The sequence below is a fragment of the Homo sapiens genome, chromosome 6 (assembly GCF_000001405.40).
Source record: "Homo sapiens chromosome 6, GRCh38.p14 Primary Assembly".
NCBI classification, from domain to species: domain Eukaryota; kingdom Metazoa; phylum Chordata; class Mammalia; order Primates; family Hominidae; genus Homo; species Homo sapiens.
Window position 1 is genome coordinate 51,973,222 of NC_000006.12, and position 22,137 is coordinate 51,995,358.

The 22,137-nt window shown below is 40.1% G+C and overlaps 1 protein-coding gene and 1 pseudogene across 22 annotated transcripts in view, besides 1 other annotated feature; one reads left to right on the forward strand and one right to left on the reverse strand.

Moving 5' to 3' along the window:
• Positions 1 to 22,137, reverse strand: part of PKHD1 (PKHD1 ciliary IPT domain containing fibrocystin/polyductin) — a 472,317-nt gene that overhangs the window by 357,923 nt on the left and 92,257 nt on the right. The window lies entirely within an intron of this gene.
• RN7SL580P (RNA, 7SL, cytoplasmic 580, pseudogene) lies at positions 2,452 to 2,738 on the forward strand (annotated as a pseudogene).
• Positions 8,942 to 9,668: an enhancer, noted in NCBI's record as "OCT4-NANOG-H3K27ac hESC enhancer chr6:51846961-51847687 (GRCh37/hg19 assembly coordinates)". NCBI's record gives its function as "activates a minimal SCP1, AML or CMV promoter by ChIP-STARR-seq in naive H9 embryonic stem cells {active_cell/tissue: H9 hESC(naive)}" and the evidence as "EXISTENCE:reporter gene assay evidence [ECO:0000049][PMID:30033119]".

Below are 22,137 nucleotides of genomic sequence, written 5' to 3' on the forward strand. Positions count from 1 at the left end.
TAAAATATATGCATTTCTTTTGCAGTACACTTTTCTCTGGAGAAAACTCCAGAAAGCAAACATTGTCCAAAGCCCTTCCAAAAAATCATAAAGCTCAATATAACTTCCATATAGCAAAATGCACTTTAATCATTTACTTTACAGTCACCTGGAATTCATTGTATGCAATTCACATAATGTCTAAACTTGGGCATATAACATATACACATACGTTTATACCAAATTTCCTTTTTACGTGTCCTCAAAGGCAGAAAACTCAGAATCTTTGGTGAATACTAAGCAATCCACAGGCACAGTTTTTTCCCAGGAAGTCCCTCATAGTTTGGAAATCCAAAATCCCCAAAGACCCTCATGAAACAAGACTTCAAGTGCAATAGTTAACTACCTTGGGATTCAAGGCTGAATTTACTCAATAAACCATACTAAAGGTTTATCAAAGACCACAACACCTCTCAGAAACATGTGCAAAATACATTTTCCAGAATTCTCCCAACTTTGGGGAATTACACCCTTGCCAAAAATGAATTGTTCAACTTGCTGAGGATTAATTATTTATGTGGCTCTGTTTTGCTTTAAGAAAATAGAGATTTCTTTTTTCCCCGTTTTCCCAACTAGAAGAAATATAGCTCCCAAGAAGCCTCTGTGTTATAGTTCAGGGATAATGAAAGCTTAGCTATTGGTTCCAATATCTCATTTTATAAATGTGAAACTCAGTGACTGATACAAGATTACCCAATGAATTGAATAGGGGTAGGTCAGGACAAACACCAAATCAAAGTGATTTTTGGTCTTTTAAAATTTTCTTGATAGAGCAATCACTATTCATCCCAGTACGGGTGAATCACATCACAGACCCCATGAAAAAGGGGGCAAGCAAGAAGCACAGTTTTCTATTATTCTACCATTTCCCACTCATTGATGACCTTCTGATAGCCCCCTCTCCAGAAGAAGTTTCCCTTACCTGGGATGTACCTAAAGTAGTGTTTGTTTGTTTGTTTGCTTGTTTTAGAAAATTGAGAAAGAAAGAAAAAAAAACATTTTTTAATCAATCACCATGAACCAGAAAGAATTAACTTACCTTCTTACTCCCTTCTTATACTCAGCCTCTCTCAAGTCTTTAAGCTTCTCATCTGGGCAAACCAAAGCAAACTTAAACCATGCTTAGTTTAAATAATTATTTTAAACCTTTTGAACAGTTTGAGAATATTTAATGACAATGTAATAGGCATAGACTGTTGAAAGCTTGTCCTGTTCCCTAAGCAACCAGGATGATAAGAAGACACCCAAAGTATGTTTAGAGGATAGGAGGTCAATGTAGAAAATAAATGAAGCTTAACCTGGATGGAGTTGGAGACCATTATTCTAAGTGAAGTAACTCAGGAATGAAAAACCAAACATTGTATGTTCTCACTCATATGTAGGAGCTAAGCTGTGAGGACTCAAAGGCATAAGAACGACACAATGGACTTTGAGGACTTGGGGAAAAGGGTGGGAGGGAGTGAGGGATAAAAGACTATACACATTGGGTACAGTGCACACTGTTTGAGTGATGGGTGCACCAAAATCTCAGAAATCACCACTAAATAATTTATTCATGTAACCAAACACCACCTGTTTCCCAAAAATCTATTGAAATAAAAAATAAAAATAATAGAAAGAAAAGGAGATTAGGACACAGATACAGAAGAAAGACCATGTGAAGACACAAAGAGAGGCAGTCATCAGCAAGCCAAGGAGAGAGGTTCAGAAGAAATCAACCTTACTAACACCTTGATGTTAGATTTCTAGCCTCCAGAATAGTGAGAAAATAAATTTCTATTATTTAAACAACAGAAAACTAAATAAATAAAATTTAAAAATAAAACATAAAAAATAAAATTAATGAAGCTTCATTACATTTTGCATATTAAGCAAGAAAATTGAATTTTAAAGATAGAACTTAGGCTAATTTATAATTCACATAAAAGACGTTTCTTTGTTTTTACTTAGGAGAAATATTAATGATATTGTATTTGACAATGATTTCTTGGATATGACACCAAAAGCAGTACAAAAAATAAATAAATAAATTGGACTTCATCAAAATTAAACTCTTTTGTGTATCAAAGGAAATCATCAATAGAGGGAAAAAGCAACCCAGGGAATTGGAGAAAATATTTGCAAATTATACAACTGATAAGAGATTAATATCCAGAATATACAAAGAACTTCCATAGCTCAACAACAACCATAACAACAAAACCTGATTTTTAAAGTGGGCAAAGGACTTGAATGGACATTTTTCCAAAGAAGATATACGGATGGCCAATAAGCACATGAAGATGTTCAACATCACTAATTATGAGGAAATGTACCTCAAAACCACAAGATAATACTTTACATCCATTAGGACAGCTATCAGCCATAAAAAAAAAAAAAAACAAAAAGAAAAAGAAAGTGAAGTGCAGTGTTGCCTATAGTCCCAGCTACTCAGGAGGCTGGGGCAGGAGGATTGCTTGAATCTAGGAGTTCTGAGCTGTAGTACTGCACTATGCACTAAGCATGTCTGCACTAAGTTCAGCATCTATATGGGACCTCTCCAGAGCAGGAGACCACTCCATTGCCAAAGGAGGGATGAATCGACCCAGGTTGGAAAAAGAGCAGGTCACAACTCCTGTGCTGATTACGAGAGTAGCTGGAGCCTGCCCATGAATAGCCACAGCACTCCAGCCGGGATAACATAGCGAGACCCTTTCTCTAATTAAAAAAAAAAAAAAAAAAAAAAAAAAACAGAAAACAACTGTTGCCAAGACTGTTGAGAAATTAGAAATTAGAACTCTTGTGTATTGCTGGTAGAAATGTAAAATGGTGCAATCACAGGGGAAAACAGTAGGACAATTCCTCAAAAAATTACATAGATTATAATTCAGCAATTCTGAGTATATGCTCAAAAGAATTGAAAGCAGGGTCTCAAAGAGACATGTGCACAGCTATGTTCGTAGCAGCATTATTTACAATAGCCAAAAGGTGGAAGCAACTCATGTGCATTGACAGAGGAGTGGACACACAAAATGTGATATATACATTCAATGAAATTTTATTCAGCCTTAAAAAGAAAGGAAATTCTGACAAATGACACAGCATGGATAAATCTTAAGGACAATATTATGCTAAAAGAAATAAACCAAACACAAAAGAACAGATATTGTATAATTCCACTTGTATAAAGTGCCTATTAGTCAAATACACAGGAACAGAAATTAGAGTGGTAGTTGCCAGGTGCTGGGGGAAGGAGGACTAGGGAGTCATTGTTTAACAGATTCCAGTTTGGGAAGACGAAAACATCCTTGAGACGGATGCTCGTGACGGTTACGCAACAATCTAGATGTACTAAATGTACACTTAAAATTAGTTAAAATGGTAAATTTTATGTTGCGCATATTTTACCACAATTTTGAAAACTGAAAGGCCAGGCACGGTGGCTCACGCCTGTAATCCTAGTACTTTGGGAAGCCAAGGTGGGTGGATCACAAGGCCAAGGGATCGAGACCATCCTGGACAACATGGTGAAACCCCGTTTCTACTAAAAATACAAAAATTAGCTGAGTGTGGTGGCACATGCCTGTAGTCCCAGCTACTCGGGAGACTGAGGCAGGGGAATCACTTGAACCCGGGAGGCGGAGGTTGCAGTGAGCCGAGATTGCACCACTGCACTCCAGCCTGGGTGATAGAGTGAGACTCCATAAAAAAAAAAAAAAAAAAAACCTGAAAAAAGATGTTTCTCCATATTTGATAAAATCAATATTCTTGGGTTCTGTAATTCTATAGATCAAACCCTCAGATTAAAAAATTAAACTTACTTAGTTTGTTCAGTGCTTCTCTGTAAAGCCTATTTGGAATTGGGGAATTTTAGAACATCTAACATCCTCATTTTTCAGATGAGAACACTGAAGCCCAGAGAGGTAAAGTGTCTTTCTCAAGGTCCTAAACCCAGGTGAAAGAATGAGAAAACAGAAAAGAAGGCAACCCTCAGTATATATGCTTCCCTCATTGCTCTGTGAAGGGTGGGTTTGCACACCTTGTTTCTGTGTGTGTGCATGTGTGTATTCACAAGCCCTGTTTACCTGTCCACGCTACTCCCCTACTCCCAACCTGAAAACTTACAGAAATCACCTGTAGTCTTCAGATACACTCTGCTATTTCATGTCCCATGCCTTCATTTACAGAGCTTGCCTCCATTAGCTTCATCGAGAACAGCCTTTCACCCCTGTTCTACCAGACAAACTCATTCTTTCAAAGCCAGGTCATTCCTCTTTCTTCCAGAAGCTTTTGATATTGTCCCCTCACCCCAAAGCAGAGCTACCCTCACCCTTCTTACTGCTTCCACCAGGCTTTGCACATACTGCTGTAGTCCTTACCCCACACTGCCTTACGAAGTTTAGTATATTGTAGTATTTTCTATTTCCACTCTCTAAGCCAGCTCCACTACCTAAGCCAGATGAGTGGAGCTGCAAGAGAACCTATGGGAGAGCTTAATGGAAAAGGCACTAGTATTTGATTCCCACCTGGAAAGTCTAAAGACAAGAGACTGGCTGGAGCTGCCCTTGCCCAGTGGCAGAGGGAAGAGGGGGCACTGGTTTGGGGGCAAGCTACATGTCACCTCTGGAGAGACAGGCAAATGTAGATCCCACCAAAGGGAACAAGCTGATATGACTTAAAGAGATCTTTCCCAAGAGGCAGACTGGATTGGTGAGGGAGAAGCAAAGCTCCTCACCACCATCCTCCCCGCAAAAAAATGGGCCAGCCATTCAGAGAGAGTTGCAGACCTAAGATCCCAGCAGGAGGATCTATAATGAAGCCACAGAAAATCCCATAAGAGAGAGCTGCACCTGCCACACATGATGTCTCCTTTGGCCCTACTCATCTCTCCTCTCAGGCCAACTCCTAGAGGAAGGAAGGAAGGAGATGGAGAGAAGAGAGAAACAGCCATTCCCCACCCCACCCCACACCAAGGTTTCCAAGCCATCTAGGGGTGAAGGAGCCTTTTAAAATTAGATAAATTTGGGGGTTTCAAAATTATATTGGACTGAATTGGAGTTAAGAGATTATTAGAGCCCATCAAGATTAATGTGTTCAAAACACATCATAAGATAAGGACTTCAAAGTAGTCTTTGAAGACTACCTCAGCCAGGGGCATTTCAGTGTTCAAGGGCTGTCAAAGCCAAGGAACTTGCAGGGGATGGACTAGAGGTGAGGAACAGGAAACACCCAATGTCACTAGGCTTTCAACAAACATGGGCTGTGAGGGAAGAAGAAACTCAGTTACATGCTAAAAGGGGCCATAAAGTCAACAGAGGATTAGGGGAAGTTTGGGGTTCTTTATTTAAGATTAAACAGTTTATGAACTGAGAGAAATGCAGAAAAGAGATGAGGCCGTTTTGACATCAGGTGCTACCAAGCAGGAGAGGAGGTAATCTAGAATACAAGTAGGGATCAGCCCCCTTCTCTGCTCATCTCACAAACACTGTAAGTCCCAGGCATACGTCCTCTTCTTCCTCATCTGCACATTCTTCCTGGATCCTGTCACCTCCTGTGGCTTCTATTATCACCTACCTCATAACAATTTTCAAATCTGTATCTCAAACTCTGAACCGAAAGGTTTGAACTGAAGGAGAAAGTGTCTCAACTCTCTCCTAAACTCTAAATGGATGGATATCTCCATTTGTATGTTAACTGGAGCACTCAGCCATAACATGTGTATAATGACATTCATTATTTTCCCCTTTCTACAAACTTATTTACTTAGCCATTAATATCAAGTTTACAGAGTTACCAAACACCAAAAATAGAATCACCTGACTTGTCCCGTCCTTAATCCCCAGCGTCCAATAGGTAACCAAGTTGTGTCCATGACCTCATAAATGCCTCTTCATTCATTCTTTTCTTCTCTATGTATGCAGTTACATAGAGAAGAAAAGACCATACAGAACATACAGAGTGTGTCTGAAGACTACAGGTGATTTCTGTACATCCTCATGTAGGCCTTAGTTTAAGAGCTGCTCATCTCTCACCAGGATCTTCTTGACTGTAGGCTCCATGAGAACAGACAGCATGTCTGTTTATGCATCTAGGGTTTATTGCAGCACTTGGTACATGGTAGGTTTTTAATAAATATTTATTAAATGAATGAATAAATGTTAAATGGACGACCATTGATTGCAACAGCCATTCTGATCTCTCTGCTTCCAATCCCCCCACATCCTTTCATTCTCCTCTGCATTGCTAATATTCTCTTCCTAGGAAAATTAACCTCACTCATTCATTCTCTCTCTGTCTTTCTCCCTCTCTCTCTCCTCCTCCTCTCCCCCCAACACATAGTCACCCACACATACAGTCACCCACCTGACCTGCCTCCCACACACACTTAGAATACACAGAGTGTAGAGCTTAGAAAAGAGCTGACTCCAGTGCCTAGAGAACAAAGTCCAAATTCAAATAAGTATCTAATCCTCTACCCTACAAGTGGTCTCCCAGCCTCATCCCTCGCTTCTCCCCATAATTCTGCTGGATCATGTGCCATCCTCAAGCTATACCAAAAGCCACAGTGTCCCCTAACATACCCTGACTTGTATGCACGTGTTTTTTCTCTCCTGAGCAGTCCAGTTGTTTTCCAAGGACTGTCTCCATTTAAAATCTCTCCAGAATGATCTTCTTGGACCCTGGAGAAGCTATCTTCTCTCAGTGCTGCCCTGCGCTCAGTGCCCACTGCTTTTGTGCTCCATATTTACATCAATGTTTCACCTTGCTAGAGTGTGAGTTTTAAGGACAAGGACTATATGGTAGTCACATGTATATTACAAGTCACTAGCACCTCTCCTGGTACATAATGAGCACTTGCCAAATTAATTAGACCAAATTCATGAATTAGACCCATTTATTACCCGTATGTAACAAGCAACAAACAAATGGGGGATGTCAGTGACACCAAAATGCTTTCTCTTGCCTGAAAGTTTATAATTTCTTTGCACTCTGTTAAAACTATTTCGTGGTTTTTTTCAAATATTATAGAAAATATTCATCAAGGTATAACTCAAACTCCTGCCACCATGTCTGCCAGCAGAATGTCAGTAGACCTGCTTCAATAAATTGATAGCACTTATTTATAATTTGCAGCCCCCATTTGCATGCAAATAATGTGCTACAGTTCATAAAGTTGATTTTTCTCTTAAGTTAAATATTCTACCTACAATGTTGTTCATGTATCAATTAATGAAGTTTTACTATATTCAACCCATAAACATTTATTGAGCCAGGTACTGTGCTAGACCCTTAGGATAAAATGACAAATAACATAATTCCCTGCTCTCAAGAAGCTCACTGTTGAAAAAAACCAACACACAAGCCAAGCATTACAATGAGACAGGCTTGTTTCTTTTCTTACAAGGGCAAAATGTGGACGTTTACAAGAGAAGGTAGAGAAAATGAAAGCTAAAAGGTAGCAGTTGTAGGAATACTTATCAGACTATGATCTTACTTGCAGAAATATCTCATTACTTGGCTTTTAAAAGCAATCATGCAAACTTTTGATACTCTGAACAGTACAGACTACTCAACATGATCCCTATTATAACCCTTTATCTGTGAGCCAAATATCATTGAAATCTATGAACAATAACAATACAGTCCACTTGAAGAAAGTAACTAGATTCCTTTAAATATCAAGATGGTAGAATGTTTACAATTAACAGCCTTTAGTAGCATAGCAATATTTGTCCAAATCAGTCAGCTTTTTAAAATGTCTAAATAAACTGTTGGAGGAAAAAATAAAAAGTTAAGTTCCTATATTTTGGTCAAAAATGGGAAAAAGCTACAGCGTTTATAACCTATTTGGAACACATGCCTGCCTCTAAAAAGGAATCACTATAAACCCTCACAAGAAACCTCTGACACAAGATCCCCTGATAAACACTCAACCTGCATGCTCTTCCCACTACACTCTACCTCTACTCCGATTGCACAGAGTCTTGCAAAAACCTCTGTGCAACCCAAGCTCAAATTCTTCAAAGGCACTGCGGTACAGAGCCCTTTTAGAGAGGCTCCAAAGCTCAAGCTCTCCCTCTCCCTCTCCCTCTCCCTCTCCCTCTCCCTCTCCCTCTCCCTCTCCCTCTCCCTCCACGGTCTCCCTCTGATGCCGAGCCAAGGCTGGACGGTGCTGCTGCCATCTCGGCTCACTGCAGCCTCCCTGCCTGATTCTCCTGCCTCAGCCTGCTACGCCTCACTGGTTTTCGTTTTTTTTTTGGTGGAGACGGGGTTTTGCTGTGTTGGCCGGGCTGGTCTCCAGCTCCTAGCCGCGAGTGATCCGCCAGCCTCGGCCTCCCGGGGTGCCGGGATTGCGGACGGAGTCTCGTTCACTCAGTGCTCAGTGGGTGCCCAGGCTGGAGTGCAGTGGCGTGATCTCGGCTCGCTACAGCCTCCACCTCCCAGCCGCCTGCCTTGGCCCCCCAAAGTGCCGAGATTGCAGCCTCTGCCCAGCCGCCACCCCGTCTGGGAAGTGAGGAGCGTCTCTGCTTGGCCACCCATCGTCTGGGATATGAGGAGCCTCTCTGCCTGGCTGCCCAGTCTGGAAAGTGAGGAGCGTCTCTGCCCGGCTGCCATCCCATCTAGGAAGCGAGGAGCGCCTCTTCCCCGCTGCCTTCCCATCTAGGAAGTGAGGAGCGTCTCTGCCCGGCCGCCCATCGTCTGAGATGTGGGGAGCACCTCTGCCCCGCCGCCCTGTCTGGGATGTGAGGAGCGCCTCTGCTGGCCGCAACCCCGTCTGGGAGGTGAGGAGCGTCTCTGCCCGGCCGCCCCGTCTGAGAAGTGAGGAAACCCTCTGCCTGGCAACCGCCCCGTCTGAGAAGTGAGGAGCCCCTCCGTCCGGCAGCCACCCCGTCTGGGAAGTGAGGAGCGTCTCCGCCCGGCAGCCACCCCGTCCGGGAGGGAGGTGGGGGGGTCAGCCCCCCGCCCGGCCAGCCGCCCCATCCGGGAGGTGAGGGGCGCTTCTGCCCAGCCGCCCCTACTGGGAAGTGAGGAGCCCCTCTGCCCGGCCACGACCCCGTCTGGGAGGTGTGCCCAGCGGCTCACTGGGGATGGGCCATGATGACAATGGCGGTTTTGTGGAATAGAAAGGCGGGAAGGGTGGGGAAAAAATTGAGAAATCAGATGGTTGCCGGGTTTGTGTGGATAGAAGTAGACATGGGAGACTTTTCATTTTGTTCTGTACTAAGAAAAATTCTTCTGCCTTGGGATCCTGTTGATCTGTGACCTTATCCCCAACCCTGTGCTCTCTGAAACATGTGCTGTGTCCACTCAGGGTTAAATGGATTAAGGGCGGTGCAAGATGTGCTTTGTTAAACAGATGCTTGAAGGCAGCATGCTCGTCAAGAGTCATCACCACTCCCTAATCTTAAGTACCCAGGGACACAAACACTGCGGAAGGCCGCAGGGTCCTCTGCCTAGGAAAACCAGAGACCTTTGTTCACTTGTTTATCTGCTGACCTTCCCTCCACTATTGTCCTATGACCCTGCCAAATCCCCCTCTGCGAGAAACACCCAAGAATGATCAATAAAAAAAAAAATAATAATAATAAATAAAAAATAAAAAAATAAAAAAATAAAAATAAAATAAAATAAAATAAAATAAAATAAAATAAAAAAAAGAGAGGCTCCAAAGTATCCACATCTTAACCACATCGGACGCCTTTGCCCAGCCTCCCTGAGGCTCCCACAACACATTCTGAAATCTCAGACATTGCTTAAGCAGGGCCCAGGAAGCCTTTGCAAGACAAAGGAAGGAAACACAGTGAAGTGTACCGTTAACAAAACCCAAAATCAAAAGGAAGTCCAAGTCGTTGTCAAATTTGTAATTGGTAGCTCCATTATTAATTAATTTGTCAGAGAATTTAACACAGCAGGACTATCCACAGTCATAACTGCACAAGTAAATTGAGACTAGGTTAAACAAAATTTTTTTAAATTTAATTTTCTACGTACCTACAGAGGTGAGAACTGCCTAGACTACAAAAAATAAGGGGGCTTGCTTGTATTGATATTTTAATCTGAAACATCATTATTGTGTAAACGGAATCTCCTTTTACATTAGTTTTCAGAGACAAGACTGGAAACAGCATATGAGCACATAATCATATCACAGTGTGTTTCTCTCTCAAAAGCCGAACCTTCTGCCTTAACACTTTCACAGACTCCTCCAGGCCTGCTTCAAACAGACAAAACACTCCTCCTAAAACTCAAAGAAACATCGCAACACCTTTGTAATAGGCCTATTTCCCAAGAGGGGGCAGATAAAAGGACAAAGCAAATTAAGGGAAATGCGGAATATAAACTTGAAACCTACTGTCAATAAAACCCAAAACAAACTCGAAGCGGAGGTGAAGAAAGCAGGGGGAGGAAAAGCAATGTTAAATGGTCATCTTTCTTCTCATTTTATTTGAGGAAGTTAAGTTTGCACAGCTCCTTACAAGCTGTCTTTGGCTAAAATCACTATTAATGAGCTTTGACGTTTGAAATTTAACTGAGCACAAGCTAACAGCTTCCAGCACTGCACCACCCATGAAGTCAACTGGAAATATTTTGCTAGGGCCTAACGGTGTGTTTATTGAAAAGGCACAGCTTTCAAGAGAAAGTGTTTATAGCAACCACTTTACCTGCTATCCCTGCTCTGTGATGTCTGTTTGGTTTTAGGGTTTGGGGGGTCCTCTTTAACTCTTTCTAGTCACACTGTTCTAATTGTTTTCAAGTCTAGCAGGAGAATGTTAATGAAGTTCTTTGCTCTACAGCAACCTGGATTATAAGGACAGATTTGAAAACTCTGAGTTATGACAAAGGGGCAGGCCACAAGGCAAAAAGAAAAAAGCCCATAGAGAGGCTTCAGCTCTAGCATTCGCTCATTAGAAAGACAAGATAAAAACACGTATTCTTTATGGGTAATGCCATTAAAATTATCCTTTCCCAAAAGAGAACACAGTGACTAGATCAATAAACCTGAAAGATTGCATGGATTCTTCTTAGCTAAAATCCTGGTTCATTGAATGAAAGTGAATTCATTATTAACCAAGTAGTTTCCCCAAGAGAAAGGCATGGAAGGAAGCTATTCACTTTACTCCTCAACAAAGAAGGCTTTAGGCATTCTGACTTGTTTAAGAAGTAAAATGAAAAAGAGGGATTGAGTCTGAAAGAAAAGCATACTCACACATACCCTGCTCTTGCACAAAATTTACATGTTGTCAGTTTCTACCTCTAAAATTTATTAAAACAAAGAGGGAGCATTATTTTGAATCTCATGCCACAGTCCTAAGAACAATGGTCTGTGTTCAGTGATCCTGTACAGATTCTTGACCTTGAACACACCTGGATGCCAATATCAGTATGAAATTCAGAACTGCTCCCCTTTCCCTGAAGCCAGTGTTACACTGGAGAATGTAGGAGTATCCTTTGCCTGAGGCATTCCTGGACCAAGTAAAAGTAAAAGCAGAAATTATAACCTAATCTGGAATGCCTCTAAGGAATGGAGAGGAAATCTCAGTTACAAAGAAAAGGAAGTTCAGAATCTGCGAACTAGAAATAACATAATTTCAAGGTTTTTATTCACCAAATTAACGTTGGGTTACCCCTACAATACCAAGGAGAAAACGTCCAAGGATGGTGCTAAATCAATGAAGACAATTCAGACATTACAACTAGAGAAAAAATAAGGAGAAAGCAAGAAAGTTGGATTCTTTGTCCAAAGATATTTTTGTCATTACTAGATATTTTTCCATAGAAAAAAAAAACAATTACTAGATCATCAATTATTTTAAAATTAAAATGAAATCTTCATATGTTCCTTTTTTAATGGAAATGTGTAAACTGGTACAACTATATTATTTTGCAATATGCATGATCTGTGAAAAAAATTAGAAAAAAACTACATACAATTGAAGGCTATCTCTGAGTTTCATATACTTTCTCAAAATATGTGGAAAGATAAATGTGGAAGATGTCTGTTGCAGTATTGTTTGTAGAAATCAACTTCTTGAAATATTTATTGCAAAACAATTAACACATGTTTATTGATTCTTTATTTTGGCCTACTTTGTAAGAAAAATCCAATAGTGAATAAACAATAGTTTCTGGGTTTATGGAACATTGTTTAAGAAATATACAACAACGAAAAATTTAAGAGGAATGAATGTTATAAAAAAGAAAGCAGGCCGAGCGCGGTGGCTCATGCCTGTAATCCCAGCACTTTAGAAGGCTGAGGCGGGCGGATCACTTGAGGCCAGGAGTTCGAGACCCACCTGGCCAACGTGGCAAAACCCTGTCTGTACTAAAAATGCAAAAATTAGCCAGGCATGGTGGCAGATGCCTGTAATCCCAGCTACTCGGGAGGCTGAGGCAGGAGAATCGCTTGAACCCAGGAGGTGGAGGTTGCAGTGAGCCGAGATCGTGGCACTGCACTCCAGCCTGGGCAACAGAGTGAGAATCCATCTCAAAAAAATAATAATAATAAAGCATATGCTACCCTAAATGATAAGACACAGGGATATCTTTTAAAATAGAAAGGTTTCTTTTTTACTGATACATAATAATTATACATATTTAAGGGATACATGTGATATTTTGATACTACATTCTCACATGCTATATGAGTTATTTATTTCTAGAAGTTATACAATGGAAAGTAATTTTTAAAATAATTTATGTAACCATTTGTGAATAAGAATATATTTGTGATAGTTATTAATTCACAAATGGTACCGGTCATATTAACAACTTATTTATAATCAGCATATTTCCAGTTAGCAAAGTGAGAATGTAAGGTAAAAACGTAATGGGATTAATAGGAATAATTTTGCTATGGGGATCTGTGTAGTTATAATGATTTCAAGTTAAAAAAACAGAAATGTAAGTAATATATAGCATTTGTCTCTAATATTATAGAAATGCCATATTCAGACCTGTCGTGGAGAGGGACATAGCTGTTCTCTTCACAATCTCAGTCATGAATATGACTAATGAGAAATGAAGGGGAGAGGTGGGGAATTTATCACAATATCCACACACCAAACCTCATGTACTTCTTCAAGATGTGTCTTTCAAGACTGCACTCAGAATCGTATATATCTATTAAAATTTTGTTATCTTGTCAGTTGCTGAAGAAAACAAAAGGATCAATTAGAAGGAAGTAGGGGCTACTGACAGCATCCAGATGTGAGACTTGCAGTCTGACAGCAAAGGAAGGGACGAAATACATCAATACAGTCATGGGCCATTTAGCAATTTCAATAGCACCACCTGGGATAGAGTTATTATTTTTTTAAAAAGTGAAACAACTGAAGTTTGTGCTGATGATCCAGAGGTATCAACAAAATATTTGATACTACCACCTATGTTCAAGTAAAAGGACAGAAAAGCCTTCGCAATGTTTTAGAAGTTAATATCAAAAATAAACATGGCTTGGTATTTTGACGGAAATGTTTCAGTTGCCTAGCAAATTAACTCCTGTGGTATTTCTCATTCCCCAAGCAAAATAGAAAAGTGAGATATTAGGAAACTTTAAAACTGGAAAAATATATGACACCGCCAGGAGTTTTGTCCAGAAATGAAATTTGGAAATGGCCTTTATCCAACAAATAGCGTGGCAGCATTTGCTAAACCCCAGGCACAGCAGTAGGTGCTCAGACTACCTCTGGCACACACATAATCTAGCAGGAAACAAGTATAATAGCCGATACTAGGTAGAGCACATAAATAGCATGGCTTTAAAGAAAGCGTGGGTACAGACGTGTAGAAATGCTAGGTGTGGTTGATTAATGCCGATTGTGACTACTATTAGGTACACAGGATATGAGGACATCAAGATAGAACACCAACCAGCAAGGCTGAGAGAGCCCTCCAGGGTTGAGGGCACAGCAGAATCTCAGAGTCCAGTTGTTTTCTCACTCACTTCAATACCCCCATTTTGGTAGCACATTAAATAAATTGATCTGGATTTGGAAAATAGCAAACTGAAAACCAGAACAACAATTAAAATATTCAAAGCTGAAGGTATGAGGCTGGGAGAAATGATAATAATAACAAGAATAATAATGATAAACACTGAATGAGCATTTATTAGATGTAGGACACTGCATAAAAACCTTCACTTCTATACCCTGTTTGAACTTCACAATGACCTTCCAAGAGTCTACCTTATTAGCCCTATTTATGATGAGAAAACTGAGAAATGCAGAGGGAAAGTAACATGACCAAAAACAAAACGCTGGAAAGTGGTGGAACCAAGGCTTTGAGAATCTGTTTTCAGACTTTAGCAGCCCATGCCCTTAAGCAATATTAAAAACTTGTCTCAAAAATAATAAAAGTTTCATAAATCTGAAATGATGAGGAAAATATAGCCTCAGAAACAGAAAGGTTAAATCAGACTGAATCTCCAGTCAAAAGGTGAGCCCAATCAGTTTTGTCCTCTCACAGGAAAGAAGTTCTTTTTCTAAGACCTTTTTTTTTTTTTTCTGAAACTGAAACTGTGAACTTTTGGTATTCTCTGATTCTCCAGAAGACCCTCAAGTCCCTAAGCCCTAGCAATTGTTTTATTTTACTAGTTGAATAAAATGGGCTCTGGAGGCAGTAACACAAATTCAAATCCTAACTCTACCACATAGTCACTCTGTGACCTTTGGTAGTCACCTAATTTCCCTGAAGCTCAATCTCTTATCTTAAAATGGAGATTTTTTGAGGGCTCTTAATGAGTTAATTAGTATACATAAAGGCTAACTCAGTGCCTGACATATAACAGGTGTTTGGTAAGTATCATTGTTCACTTCTTGCCTTTCTCAACTTTTCCTTAAACTAAAACAAGGAAAAGATAGATTTCTTAAGATTTAGTTGTTGCATCACCATTTATGGAAAAACAAAGAGAAATGAAAACAAAATCAACTTTCCTTGGTGATGAAAACGCCCTATGTCTTCAATTTGATTCTGGGCTTCACAGTATATACATATATTAATAAGCTATACACTTAAGATCTGTACATTTCATTATAGGTAATTTATGCCTCAATATATAAGACAAATTCTTGACAAAATAAATTTTTATTTTAAATATAATATCTCAAACATAATAATTAATTCTATTGGCAAACCAAATTATCCAGCATATATTTTATGTCGCCAATTAGAAACTTAAAAGTACAAAAAACACATACTACATATTTTTCATCTAGCCCTAATATTTCATTCCCCCACCTTGCTCCCACTTTAAACAATCCTAAGGAAATTTCCAACAGCCACTGTTTTATTTCTGTACTCTGCAAGTAGCACGTTCCAGTTTTCTATGCGAGCCTTTTGGCCACATTACAGCCAACTACCACCACCATATGCCACTGGAGTCCACATTGATAAAAGATCTAAGAGTTGAATGGCACTTTCATACTTAGAGAGGGCTTTACACCTGTAGATCCATTTAAAACTCAAAAACCTTGCAGGAAGATATGGTTAAGCACTATCACCATCATTGAGGGGAAATGATGGCTCTGAGAAATTAAGTCAAGGACCCAGGACCTTGGCGTTGTTAGGGACTAGGACCCAAGTCTTCCAGCATCAAGACTCACAGCTTTTCCATTACTCTTATACCTTTGACAGAGGAAGAGATGACAAGACAAGTCCTCCAACTTGTGCCAACTAACGATGAGCCTGCACAGCACTAGCTATAGAAAATCAACAACATAAGGCCAGGGGCTCACATTGTTAAAGTCTGTGGCTTTAGAAAAGGATGAAATCTGCCTAAAAAATATTTCTCTACTCTTCCCAGAGTTGCTTTTGGAAGCGATATCTTTATATCCAATACGATCCTTCTCAAAGGTGAGTATTCATGCTGCGAATCCACTCCAGTCTCCAGGGCCTTTGCCCTGGTACTGACATTTTACCTTCTACAAAAACTTCATGAGAGAAAGGAAAAAAAACAAAAACTAGATTTTTCCAGGTCAAATAAAAAGAAAAAACTTATACTAATTAAAGCCATACTCTTTTAGACAAAAACACTATTTCAGTTCTCCCTTCTTTGCTTTTTCTGCTGCAAAACATGTTTCAAGGCTAAAAAGGAGCCAATTAAAGTTTCTATTATCATGAAATACAATTCTGTTGGTGCAGTGATACTGAGCAAAAGCAATTTTATTCCTGCCTTTCCAAAAATACGTATAGGTACATGTGAAAACAACTATGCATGCAGGCACACCTGCAGGGGTGTCTCTATGTGCACGTGTATGTGTGTAGAAAGGAAGACCAGAGAGTTATCACAGAATTGAACCTGCACAATTCACCACAAATAAATTAATAATGGCATATTATGAAGATATATTTTCCCATTATCTAGAGGAACTTTGTTTTGCCTGTTTTTGTTATTATTTTTCACTCGAGTCATCATTATCCTACAGAGAGGAAGGCTAACAAAGGCCTTTGATTTCACCACTTCTAGAGATTTAAACAAAAGACTTAACAATCCCAATTAGACCATTAAAATACCTCAAGAGAAAAACAAAGAATATACAGCTATATCTGCTGAACTCCCAGTAATAACTCAAGGTCTGTCTTAATTTTTTTTAAACCAGAGGAAATGAAGGGATAGGGGGAGGGAGGAAACAAGGGAGAAAAGGAAGGAAGGAAGGAGGGAGGAAGGAAGGAAGGAAGGAAGGAAGGAAGGAAAGAAGGAAGGAAGAAAGGAAGGAAAGAAGGAAGGAAGGAAGGAAGGAAGGGAGAGATACAGCAATTTCACTATTCCACCCATGCACCTAGCAGCTGCGTTTATTGTTATTTATTTATTTCCTCCCTTTTGAGCTAGATCCTTTTTTTCTCATTTAGTCCAACAGAGATTGTCCTCCTGGTGTGACCTTTTATTCTTCCCTTTTCCTTCACCCCTCCAGGCTATTGCCCTCATGCCAGTAACTAGATAACACACTCTATCAAAGATTTTTTTAAAAAATCATTGGGAAGGCACTAGGGCTGATAGTGGCATCAATCGTAGCCTGACACGAGCTGGGGTCAACCATTTATCTCTTTACATAGCCTGTGGTTACTGCAGTGGCCATCTTGACTTGCTACATCTTAACAACCTTGTGCAGATGTTGCCTCTCCCAACACTGATAATATCTGCTCCCCCAGTCCTTTTGCTTTCCTTGTTTGGCATATTTCTTTGTTTTATTCTGGTGGACATCTTTTCATAATAAATCAGGGCAAGAATAAGTGAAGCCCCTCCCGTGTTTCAGAGCCCTTCCATATTTCAGGGCAAGGGAGATAATTATGGGCTATACAAAGAATCTTGCTCTTTGTACCAATATTTTCAAACTAAAATCAAAACACTTTTGTTCCTTAGTAAATAGTCATATCCTTGAAGTTAAAGTGAATTCATGTAGCATTGCTCTTATTTCACTGGATATGAGATTTTATCAAAAGTTTTTTATGAACTCATTTATTTTCCATTCTATCCCACTCTTTTCCCATCTCTCTCTCTCTCTCTACCCCCAAAATACCATTCACTAGCTTTTTTTTTTGTAACTTATTCAGCAGGCAGCATCATGATTAAGAGAAAGTTGAAAGTTAGGCAGACTACATTTCAAACTCATAGCTCCAACATTATTAGCCACAGGGCCTAGGGCAAGTCTCCTAACATTTTGAAGCATCCGTTTCCTTATCTGCAAAATGGAGCTAATACTATCTACTCAGAGTGCTATGAAAATAAGTAGAAAAAATACTTAAATGCCATGTGTCTGTCACATATAAATGTTCAATGTATTTGAGTTGCCACTTACTGTCTTAAAGTTAATGAAGAGTTAGTTGCTCAGACAATGGAATCTGGTGCCAAGCATCATGGACAACCCTATATACAAAACTCATCTTTACTGCCACTTTTTCTACCACTGTAACTTCACTTATTTGGGTCTCCAAGAAATCTGTTTAAAAATGGAAATACACTTGGGAAGTTTTAGACCTTATAAACATAAACTTTAAATAAGACTGGAATGGAAGATAGAAACAAAAGAAAGAGAAAATAAAAGAGACTCAAAGGAAAACTTGGTTTATGTGTATTGTGCTCTAATTTTTAATACAAACCCTAGATGCCTCACGCCTTCTAGAAATTCAAATAAATGTAAAATATAGCCACTATGAGAGATACCCAAGTTAAAACTCACCTTCACCCTTAAAATTCCCATTAGCAGATTCTTCTTTTCAAAGGATAACCTACATAACATAGTCCTCACTTAAAAAAATAAAAGTAAATAAGCTGATAGCTGTTGAAGGTAGACAATGGGTACACAGGGCTCATTATGCTATTCTCTCTATTGTCACATATTTAAAATTGATTATTTTAAAAGTTAAATAAAATAGGCCCCAATAAATACATTGCCTTAAATAGGCTAATTGTGATGTATTTCCAGTTGTGCCAAAGCCCAGTAAAGAATAGGGTCAATATCCCCTGATGCTGAAAGGGATTGTTTCTTAAGACTTCACAGAGAAATCTTAAATTGTACTTTAATGATGGACTTTATGGATAAATATATAGTCATAGAAATAAATATATCACTCCAAGCATTGCCAATGTTAATCTTATGACCATTCCAGATTTATTCACTCAACATACAGATAGCATTTTTAAATTATTTCATCATATTCCTATACTTCTACACCCAATGCCTGTAGATACTGAAATTAGGAGTTACTATCTCTAAACTCTCCAGCTTGAAGATTATGGGGCAAGAGTGCCAAAGAGCACAGGCTCTGGAATCATTATGTCTCAATTTGAGTCCCTGCTCTGCCACTTTCCAGCTGTGGGTCCTGAGACAAGCTTCTAAGCATTTCTGAATGGTTATCAACCTGTAAAATTGAGATGATAATAGTCATCACTTTAAAGTTTCATTCTGAGGATTAAATGGGCAGTTCAAGTAAAGGGTTTCACACAGTTCCTGACAAGAAGCAAGCATTCAATTAATGTTACCCCTTCCCATTATTATTAGTAGTAGTAGTAGTTCTTTACAATAAAATACAGAAATATGCTTCTCTAGGTGGCATCATAGCAAGTATTGAATACCCTAATATGTTTTTCTTTCCATTTTTCTCAATCTTCCCAAAACAGCGATTACATACTTGGTTGTTTCATTTTAATGTTTGAAAAGTATCAATTTATCCAAGTGAAGTTATGAATTCTGTGAGCAGAAGAGATGAGGCAAAGAAATCAAGAATCACTCCCTGATTCAGTGGTGCCTGGATTTGAAAGGGTGCAGTATGAAGATGAGTTTAAACGCTGGCATGGCTCTCCCAATTTCCACACAATTTCCTTGTGGAGAAGCCACCAGTACAGGGAAATTTTAGAACAATTTTACCAAGAGAAAAGAACCCAGACCCCTGCTTTCTTAGTCTCCCCTCAGGCGTGGGCACTGAAGGCTTCAATGAGAGGCTGGAAGACTCTAACTGTGGCCCAAATTTCATGCCACATGGCAGAGCAAGGCTTTTTTCCAGGAGCAGTGCATTGTTAACTTATCAGACACATTAATAAATTCCTATCTCAAATGTGCAGAAAACTCACACAAAAAGAGAAGCAAGCTTGTCTTCTTTCTGCTCCATTCCAGCTCTGGGTTAAGAAGGTACTACCTTCAGTATTGCTGGTACAAGGGTCCTGGTTCAAACCTTCAGTCCCTGCCCCCATTAAAATGTAAAACTAGATTCAACCATCACGGAGTGGCACCAGAGGATTGCAATTTCATCCAGCATGATTTTTATTAGCCTTGCAATTTCTTAATGGGCTCCCCTGAGGGCTGGCTGGTAGAATCCTGCACTACCAGTCCGGATTTGCTACAGGCAGCTTAATAAACATGGTATCTTCCCCGTGACAATTGTCATAACATCTGACCAGGGTGCAGAAGGCAGAGCTAAAGGTTAACAAAACCACTGCTCAGGTGGCAGGGAGGTGAGTGGGGAGAATGTTGGAAATTGTAATCTGAAGGCAAAGGCTGCCTGCTGGGTTGGTGATTCTTCCAGCCTGGCCAGAGCTCCCAGGAGCCGAGCAGGCAGCTTGCTGCCTTCTATAATCAGCATCTTTTACACATCTCATCAGTGTCACTGTTCCTGACGTCTCATTATGCACCAGAGGTGGAAGTGGACAGGTACCGAACACTTGAACTTTTACTTTTCTTATTATTTCCATGGAGCACCATGAAGCTGGGAGTTAATTAAGTCCCGTGGGACAGGCAATCAGTGTCTTTTTTGCTAAGTTAAATTACATTATACACAGATGCAAAAAAGAGGAGAAAAAATAATCCCTCAGCTGTTTCCTAGTTAATAGAGTAAGTTAGAAATATGATGATGCCAAACTGGAAGCTGAAGTTGATAGCTCCTTAGCATACGAGGTGTCTAATGAAGTCATATGACAAATCCACCAGGGATCTCCTTCCTTAAAGGATCTCAAAGCACTTTTACAAACACTTTTAAAGAACTTCCTGCCTCAACTCTGACAAAGTTAATTGGGGGATGATAGTCAATTCGATAGTTTAGGGAGGAAATTGTACTCAGCCAGACTGGAGAAGAAAACTTCCTTGGATGTATAAGATGTTAGACTGAAAAGAAACCTTCAGAGGTAAGACAGAATCAGACAGTGTCAAAGTGGAAAGGGAGCTAAAAATGACCTAGCCCAAAATTTCCCAAAGTGTTCCACAGAGAGCCAATAGGTGTTGTATGGAAGAAAAAAAAATAAGATTTTTATGACCAAATAAGCTTAGGAAAGACTGGTTTCAACAGAGTAAAACTGCCTTCCTTCCTGCAGGACTCTCCAAGCTTTTAATGTCTGACTGGACATCGATAGAATCGAGTCTGCAGCATTCACCAAACTTACTTCACTACAGAACACTTTTTTTCTTTCTTTTTTTTTTTTTTGAGACACAGTCTCGCTCTTTCGCCCAGGCCGGAGTGCAGTGGCACTATCTCGGCTCACTGCAAGCTCCGCCTCCCGGGTTCACGCCATTCTCCTGCCTCAGCCTCCCGGGTAGCTGGGACTACAGGCGCCTGCCACCGCGCCCAGCTAATTTTTTTGTATTTTTAATAGAGACGGGGTTTCACCGTGTTAGCCAGGATGGTCTCGATCTCCTGACCTCATGATCCGCCCACCTCGGCCTCCCAGAGTCCTGGGGTTACAGGCGTGAGCCACCACGCCCAGCCCAGAACACTTTTTTTTCTAATGAGACATGTTTCTTTACTAATTGCTTACAGAATTCACATTGGAACATGTTGATTTTGTCCAGTTACAGATGGGGAAACTAAGAGGTTCTTTGGTTTTGTTTTTTTGGGTTTGTTGTTGTTGTTGTTTGTTTTTTTCCTTGAGACAGAGTATTACTCTGCTGCCCAGGCTGGAATGCAGTGCAGTGGCATAATCATGACTCACTGCAGTCTCCATCTCCTAGGCTGAGGCGATCCTCCCACCTCAGACTCCCGAGTAGCTAGGACCACAGGCACACGCCACTATGCCCAGCTACTTTTTTGCATTATTTGTAGAGATGAGGTCTCCCTATGTTGCCCAGGCTGGTCTCAGACTCCTGGGCACAAGTGATCCAACTGCCTCAGCCTCCCAAAGTACTGGAATTACAGGAGTGAGCCATCTCGCCCAGCCATGAGGTTTTCCCCAGACGTGCCTCCAAGCACACAGGTAGGTAACACCCAAGCCTTGAATTAGGACTTAGATCAGCCAATCTCAGACCACTATATCATACCACCTCCCTCTGTAACTTACCAGGAATCTAAAACACCCTACAAGAATCAGGTATGCTCTCTGGTCACCCTGCGTTTCTTTGTATTACTTTCAGAATACTCATCCTTCATCCTTTTTCACCTGCAGTCTTAAGACACCTCATTTCCTTATGTTCTCACCCCTCGTGGAAGCACTGCCTGTCATGTAATGGCATCTGAGCTCCAAGAGAACAGCAGCTACATGTTTTAGAACTCACCTTACCTGCCATCAGGCCACAGCTCAGCAAGACTAGAGTTCTGACTCTGATATGGGATCTAAGGAGCATTTTATGAGACACAGTGGTGGCAACAAAATTTATAAAGCCTCTAACAGCTTTATTTTCCTCCTGAATTAAATCT